Source organism: Homo sapiens, chromosome 1, assembly GCF_000001405.40.
Source record: "Homo sapiens chromosome 1, GRCh38.p14 Primary Assembly".
Lineage (NCBI taxonomy): Eukaryota > Metazoa > Chordata > Mammalia > Primates > Hominidae > Homo > Homo sapiens.
Window position 1 is genome coordinate 233,395,295 of NC_000001.11, and position 9,343 is coordinate 233,404,637.

The following is a 9,343-nucleotide window of genomic DNA, read 5'->3' on the forward strand; positions in this document are numbered from 1 at the left end:
AAGGAGTTTCCCAGCTAGGTTAGATCTCCAAATTCAGCCTAGGTGGAAGTGAACCAAAATGTTTCAAGTAGTAGGTGGCCCATCACCCTCAGACAGAGGATGAAAGCGGACTTCCCTGCTGCACTCAACAACCCATCTAAAAATAGTACCTGCTTAAGAAATGTCCTCTAATAGTCATTTTATAAATGAAAACTGGTCACAGGCTGTGTCTTATACTGGACACTGGGAGCACACAACACACACTCTCAACACGCTATTTACTCAGTGGCAATGTGTCTGGAATTAGTTCCTTCCGGTGGGTTCTTGGTCTCTCTGACTTCAAGAACGAAGCCGCAGGCCCTCGCGGTGAGTGTTACACTTCTTAAAGATGGTGTGTCCGGAGTTTGTTCCTTCAGATGTTCAGATGTGCCCGGAGTTTCCTCCTTCTGGTGGGTTCATGGTCTCGCTCACTTCAGGAATGAAGCCGCAGACCTTCGCAGTGAGTGTTGCAGCTCTTAAAGGTGCCGCCTCTGGAGTTGTTTCTTCCTCCCAGAGGGTTCGTGATCTCGCTGACTTGAGAAGTGAAGCTGTAGACCTTCACAGTGAGTGTTACAGCTCATAAAGGTAGTGCGGACCCAAACAGTGAGCAGCAGCGAGATTTACTATGAAGAGTGAAAGAACGAAGCTTCCACAGCATGGAAGAGAACCCGAGCGGGTTGCCGGTGCTGGCTCTAGTGGCCAGCTTTTATTCCCTTATTTGGCCCCGCCCACGTCCTGCTGATTGGTCCGTTTTTACAGCGTGCTGACAGGTGTGTTTACAAATCTTTAGCTAGACACAGAGTGCTGATTGGTGCGTTTTTACAGAGTGCTGATTGGTGCATTTACAAACCTTTAGTGAGACACAGAGCACTGATTGGTGTGTTTATAGTCCTTTAGCTAGACAGAAAAGTTCTCCAAGTCCCCACCCGACCCAGAAGCCCAGCCGGCTTCACCTCCCAGCAAGAGATACCCCTACTTCACATCTATAGGCACAGCCAAAAACTGGTTACTGACAAGGACCCAGGAGATACAATTTTATCACTCTAGATATCACACACACATACACACCACACAAACACACAAAAGACACACACAATGCATAATATCCATAACACATATACATAACACACACCTATACACACACTTATGCACACACCATGAAAACACACAGAACACACTCACAATGCACACTTATACACACAACACAGTCATAACACACGTAAACACAAACACACACATAATACACACTTATATGCACAATGTATACGTAAACACATACAATACACAAACTTATAACACACTTATACACACCCAGTATACACAACACATAAATACTCATACACATACACTCACATACACTCACACCCCAATATCAAGATTATTTAGCTTACCAAAATGATTCACTTTCAAAGGAGGATAGCACTTAAAATGACAGAGGGTGGAGAAGGGACTCCTTAGACAACAAGTCTCCTTCGCCTCTGGTCATCATCTCCTGCTTACAGAATATGGAAATTTTTCTCACTAACAGAAGACTAACAAAATTAAAGAATGCATTAATATTTTATGTAGTTTAAAGATGGCAATCTGTCTTGTGCATCATAAAAATATATGTGAGATAATGGTAGAAATCTCCCTCAATTTGCTTGTTTCACATCACTGCATTTACGATTCTCTTTGGTGCTTTTAATTATTACAAATCATCCTGAAATGTTCTGGGCGGGTATAGTTCCTTTCCTTCTGAAGTTTCTTTTTTTCTCTCTTTTTTCTTTTTTTGAGACAGAGTCTCACTCTGTCACCAGGCTGGAGTGCAGTGGAAAGATCTCAGCTCACTGCAGCCTCCACCTCCTGGGTTCAAGAGATTCTCCTGTCTCAGCCTCCCGAGTAGCTGGGACTACAGGTGTGCACCACCACACCAACTAATTTTTGTATTTTTAGTAGAGACGGGGTTTCATCATGTTAGCCAGGCTGGTCTCGATCTCTTGACCTGGTGATCTTCCCGCCTCGGCCTCCGAAAGTGCTGGGGTTACAGGCGTGAGCCACTGCACCTGGCCCTGAAGGTTCTTTATAAAGCGTGTCCAGTGTTATAACAAGGCCTGTTACATTTGGTGTCCAAGGATGTGTGAATTGGTGGCATCACTGTTTTCCATCCCAACACCCCATGTCTTACTGATCCAGGTCTGACAGTGCGTCAGTTCTTTTGATTCCGTTATATGTCATGCAGAATTTCATAATTATTAACAGTAATGCAAAACAACACAATTCTTCTTTTAAGGTAAAGACAGGTATTGGCTTTATACATGGTTATTATGCCTGAGGATACTCACTTTCCTGGGACCAATATCACATATTAAAGATCCATGAGCACACACTCCCTCCAAAATAAATAAATAAAAAATTGAGAGGAAATGAGGTTACATAAACTACCTTTTATTTTTATTTTTTTTTGAAAAGGAGTCTCGCTCTGTCGCCCAGGCTGGAGTGCAGTGGCGGGATCTCGGCTCACTGCAAGCTCTGCCTCCCGGGTTCACGCCATTCTCCTGCCTCAGCCTCCTCAGCAGCTGGGACTACAGGTGCCCACCACCACGCCCGGCTAATCTTTTTGTATTTTTAGTAGAGAGGGGGTTTCACTGTGTTAGCCAGGATGGTCTCAATCTCCTGACTTTGTGATCCACCCGCCTCAGCCTCCCGAAGTGCTGGGATTACAGGCGTGAGCCACCGTGCCTGGACAACTACCTTTTAAATGTGACATTTTGTCCACACATCTCACTATCCACTGAAATGGACTGAAATAACAGTACTGCTGTGTTCTATACGATAATTACAAAAGAGATAAATCTAAATTGATAAAATATGGACATGGCAGTAAAGCACAAAATAATGTGAAATTATATCACCTAGAGATAAACACTGTTAACATTTTAACATTTTGGTCTACTTTTTTCCATTTTCTTTCTCTATGTATATAGTTACAAGAATAGGCGTCTAAAAGCAAAACATACTGCTCTTGTTTTTCATGCAGCCATCTATGGAGAACATTGCCATTGTCAATCAACATTTTTCTACAACAAGAGTTTTAATGGCCATATGGTACCCTATCTTATGGTTGTATCATAACTTAGCATTTATCACCATTGTATAAAACAGTCTGATAAGCATTCTTTTTCCGCTTCTTGCAATTGTTGAGTCCAGATCTAAGTCAGATTGCCTGGATTCAAATTTTCACAGTGTTATGACCCTACTAAGTTCTGTGTCTTTGGGTGAGTTTTATAAACTCCAAAAGCCTCATTTTGCTAAGATGATATAACAATAATAATAGTATCTATCTTATACAGTTCAAATGGGGATTAAATAAGAAAATGCATGCCTGGCACAATCCCTGGCACACAGTAAGCCATCAGTCAATATTAACCATTACTATGATTAAATATCTATCTGCTTACATCAAATATTACCTTTGGATAGATTCCCATGCATGATAATTACTTGGTCAAGGGTATGTGCAGTTATTGATACCTATTTAAAAGTTATCCCTTTAATGTTAAAAAGTGAGTGACACCTAACACTTTGGGGGCACTGACTTCTTTGAGTATTCAATGGAATCCATGGGCCTTCTCCCCTAGAGAAAAATATTTATGTACGCAAAATTTCGATACCATTTTGGGTGATCCATGGAACCCCTAAAGTCCGTTTATGGATCATTTAATATTTCTTGGATCTCACATTAAGACACACTGATTTCAGTGGGTAATCAACTACCTTTTCCATGTTGTAATATATTTATAGGGAATTGTATCTATATTTATTGTCTGAGGACATTTATACAGCATCAACATTTCCTTTGGTCATGCAGTCCCATCAGTGATATTTTCCTCTTAATTTCAGATGGGCTTTTTATGACAATAGAAAATGAGATCAATAACTTTACATTATGTATAAGTATTCAAATCATGGCACTTAAACTTTTTTTCTATTTGTTTTCCACCAGTTAGGGGTGCCTAGAACCTTTCTTGAAACCAAATGGTCAGAAATTAGAGCTTTCTAAGAAATGAATTGAGGTCCCATATTTTCTAACTTTTTTTTCAGCTGTAAAACCTTTTTATAAAATGAAATCTTTGGTAAGGCAAATAAATTTTTAAATGCTTTTTTTAATCAGTAAAAATATTAGATATGTAAAATTACAACATGTATCTTTTATAAAACTGATGAGTGAGAACTATGTCTTTTTTAAAGAACATAACATTTTAAATTGAATTAGTAAATAAAAGTTGTGGTATTAAATTAGTAATAACACACAATTTATTTCAGTAGTTTTTGGTTAAACCAGAATTGAGAAAATCCTCATTCAAACATAAGTAACAACGAATGGGAAGATTTTGCCAAAAATTAGCTTTGCAATCTCAAAACACATTTTAAGTTGGCTTACCAGAATGAAAAAGGAATAAGAATTATTTTTCTTTAGATTTGATGTATTAATTATATCTAATGATTGATGCATTTCATATCATAAATATAAAAGTCAGCAAGAAACCTAAAACTTACAATAAGTGCCGAAGTTATCATACTTTCTATTTTCTCAAATTGTGCTGCTGAACCTTATCTTTAACAAGAGCATGAGCCATGCAGAGACTCACCTTTCTCTAGCAATTATTTGAGAATAAAGCATGTGTACCAGAGTAATAACTTGCACATGCAATTTTATGTAAGAAGTTATGCAGAAATCTGTTTTTTAGATACAAAGTACAGGACTTTACTCTTCAAATGGTACAACAATTATAATAAATTCAAGAACAGATACATAGATGACAGGAGACGTTTGCTACCAAGCGCAAAATAAGCTAACTTACATAGGTGGTCTCCAAACTCCTGTTGAGTTTTTGGCTAAATCCCAATTTGCACGTGCATTGGAAAAGTCTCCAAGGAGGCCAGAGGAACAAACAACTTCCAAGGAGATAGCACTTGCTGGGAGCTGTAGGCCTACTCATCCCAGACACACAAGGTTATGAGCTGTTTACATTCACCAAGCTATAGTAGAGAGACCTTACTGAAAAGAAGATAGTCAGTAGAGACCCCAGAAGGGCCATCTACTAAGAGAGGAGCTAAGCCAGCCCCTGAATAAAAGCTACTATAGATCCACTGTAAAAATGATTAAAAATGAGTCTCTAAAGGACCAAACACATCTGCAAATAATGAAGTGGCCTGCCAGGAAAAAGCCCAATATTGCTTAAATAAATGCAACAAAATTTAGAATTCATCAATGTAAAATTCACAATGTCCAGCACCAACAACAAAAATTAGTGGGTATGCTAAGAGCAGGAAAATACAACTCATTATTACCAAGAGAAAAAAATAATCTGTAGAAATAGATTCATAGATGACAGAGATGATAGAATCAGAAAATGAAAGTTAAAAAGCTGTTATGAAAATGCTCAAATATTTAAAAGAAAACATGAGCATAATGAGAACAGAAATGGCAGATATAAAAAACACAATGGGGCCGGGCGCAGTGGCGCACACCTGTAATCCCAGCACTTTGGGGGACTGAGGCGGGTGGATCACCTGAGGTCAGGAGTTCGAGACTAGCCTGCCCAACATGGAGAAACCCCATCTCTACTAAAAATACAAAAAAAAAAATTAGTCGGGGCTGGTGGTGCATGCCTGTAATCCCATCTACTTGGGAGGCTGAGGCAGGAGAATCATTTGAACCCGGGAGGTGGAGGTTGCAGTGAGCTGAGATCGCAGTACTGCACTCCAGCCTGGGAAACAAGAGTGAAACTCCGTCTAAAATAAAATAAAATACACAATAGGTACTATCAACAGAGTATAAAGGTAACCCCAGAATGGGGGAAAATATTTGCAAATCATCTATCTGTTAAGGGGTTAATACCCAGAATACATAAAGAACTCCTGCACTCAACAAAAACAATATACTGACAATTTATTTTTTATAATGGGCAAAGGAGGAGAATAGACATTTCTCCAAAGAAGAACACAAAATGCCAACTGGCCAGGTGTGGTGGCTCAGGTTTGTAATCCCAGCACTTTGGGAGTCCAATCCAGGTGGATCAATTGAGTTCAAGACCAGCCTAGGAAACATAGCAAAACCCCATCTCTACCAAAAATACAAATACAAATTAGCCAGGCCTGGTGGCGTGTGCCTGTGGTCTGAGCTACTTGGGAGCCTGAGGCTGCAGCCAGGAAGCTGAGGCTGCAGTGAGCCGTGATTGCACCATTGCACAACAGCCTGGGTGACAGAGCAAGACCCTGTATCAAAATAAATAAATAAACAAAAAACAAATGGTTAATAGGCACATGAAAAGATACCTAATGTCATTCATCATTAGAGAAATATAAATCAAAACCATAAGATATCACTTTGCAAAAACTGGGATGGATATTATAAGCAAGCAAACAAAAAATAACAAGTGTTGGCAAGGATGTAGAGAAACTAGGAAACTTGTGCACTCCTGGTAGGCAATGGTGCAGCCACTGTGGAAAACAGTATGGCAATTCTTCAGAAAATTAAAAATAGAATTACTATATGATCCTGCAACTCCACTTCTTGTTATATTCACAAAATATTTGAAAGCAGGGACTTGAACAGATATTTGTACACCCATGTTGATGCCAATGTTATTCATGATAGGCAAGGAGTGTAAGCAACCCAAGTGTCCATAGATGGATGAACGTATAAACAAAATGTGATATATCCATACAATGAAATATTATTCAGTCCTAAAAAGGAAGGAAGTTCTGAAACATGCTCTAACCTGGATGAAACTTGAAGACATTTAGTTAAGTAAAAGAAGGCTGTCACAAAATAACAAATACTGTATGATTCCACTCTTAAGATATTTCTAAAGTAGCAAAATCCACAGAAACAGAAAGTAGAATGGTGGTTGCCAAAGGCCAGAGGGGAGGAGGAAATGGGGAGTGAGTGTTTAATGAGCATAGAGTTTTAATTTGGGATCATGAAAAAGTTCTGGTGGTGGATAGTGGTGATGATTGGACAGCAATGTTTAAAACCATTGAACTATACTCTTAAAAATGGTTAAAATGCTAACTTTTTTGGTTATGTATATTTTACCACAACTAAAACAAAGTACAACATAAAATGTCTAAAGGTGGAAAATACAATAATCTAACTTGAAAAATATATTGAATTGGATTAACAGTCAATTAGGATGTAGAGAAGAAACGATCAGTGAACTTGTATTTATGGCAATAGGAGCTATCAAAGAGAGAAAATACCAGAAAAAATAGAGCCTCCATGACAGTATCAAGGAGCCTACCATGTAAATGGAGTCCCAGAAGTAAGAGAAATGAGAGGACAGAAAAAAATATTTGAGAAAAAAATGGGCCGAAATAAAGGCTTTTTCAAACAAACGAAAGCAGAGAGAAATCACTAGCAGATCTGCACTACAAGAAACATTAAAGCAAGTTGTTCACTGAAAGGAAACCAGGTGAAAATATGAATCCTTAGAAAGATATGAAGAGCATCAAAGATAGTAAGTCTCTTGCAAATAACCCATATATTAAAAACATTTTTCTCATTCAAAAAAACTTTTGAAAGGTTATTTACCCTTTAAAGTAAAAATAATAAAGTTTTATTTTAAAATGTTTTTGTTATACATTTTACTTCTACATGTTTTGTAAAGGTTTCACAAAACATATAGAAGTGACATGTATAACAATGATAGTGCAAAGGATTACAAGAAGAAATGGAATTATAAAGTTATAAAGTATTTAGATTAAATGTGAAGGGGTATAATATTATTTAATTATAGACCTTGAAAATTTAAACACGCATATAGCTAACCATGCAGTTATCATTATGAAAGTAAAACAAAGAGGTATAACTAATAAAACAATAGCTGCAATAGTCGAATACTAAATATCAATCAATTAATTCAACAAAAGGCAGAAAAAGAAAAAAAAAACAAAAAGGAAGAGAATACAGATTTATTTTAACCATACTGATATTTGCAATAAATAGAAATATTCAAAACGTATTAAAAACAGAGATTGTTAGTCTGGATTTAAAAAAGTAAGTCTTCCTGAAAGGAACCCAGTTGAATAAAGATCTGTTACACAAATATAAGGATGCTGGAGGAACTGCAATAATACAAGCAAAGTAAACTTTAAAACAAGCGATGTGGCTGGGTGTGGTGGCTCACATCTGTAATCCCAGAACTTTGGGAGCCCGAGAGGGGGGTGGATCACCTGAGGTCAGGAGTTCGAGACCAGCCTGGACAACATAGTGAAACCCAATCTCTACTAAAAAAAGGAAAAAAAAATACAAAAATTAGCCGGGCATGTTGGTGGGCACCTGTAAGCCCAGCTACTCGGGAGGCTGAGGCAGGAGAATCACTTGAACCTGGGAGGTGGTGATTGCAGTGAGCCAAGATCACACCACTGCACTCCAGCCTGAGTGACAAGAGAGAAACTCCATCTCAAAATAAATAAATACATAAAATGAAACAAGGGATGTTATCAGGAATGAAGGGAGACATTCCATAATAATAAAGGAAACAATTCATGGAAAAGACATAAAAATCCTAATTATGTATGTGTCTTTGATATCCTTTGAATATTTGTCCCCTCCAAAACTCATGTTGATGTTGGATTCCCAGTGTTGGAGTTGGTGCCTGATGGGAGCTGTTTAGGTCATGGGGGTGGATCCCTCAGGAATAACTTCGTGCCACCTTGTGGTAATGAGTGAGTTCTCACTCAATTCATTTCCACTAGAACAGGTTGTTGAAAAGAACCTGGCACCTCTTCCCCCGTCTCTCTACCTCTCTCTCTCCATATGATGCTTGCTCCCCTTCACCTTTCACCATGAGTGGAAGCAGCCTGAAGCCCTCCCCAGAAGAAGATGCTGGTGCCATGCTTCTTGTACAGCCTGCAGAACTGTGAGCCAAATAAACCTCTTTTCTTCATACATTACCCAGCCTTATGTATTCCTGTATAGCAACACAAATGAACTAAGACAACATGGTAACAGAACTTCAAACTCATGAAGCAAGAATTGATAGGATTGAAAGAGAAATAGACAAATCCACAATTATGGTCAGAGATTTCAACCCTCTCTCAATACTTGACAGAAAAAGTAGGCAGAAATTTTAATAAGAAGTCTTATCATTTGACTTGGCCTAACATTTATATAAAACTTGATTCCAAACCCAGAAACTACACATTCTTTACAATTACATGTGAAACATTCATTAAGATAGACCATATTCTGTAACATAAAATAAGTCCCAAAATATTTAAAGAATTGAAATTATATATTGATTTCTGACCACAACACAATTTTTAAAAAAATTAC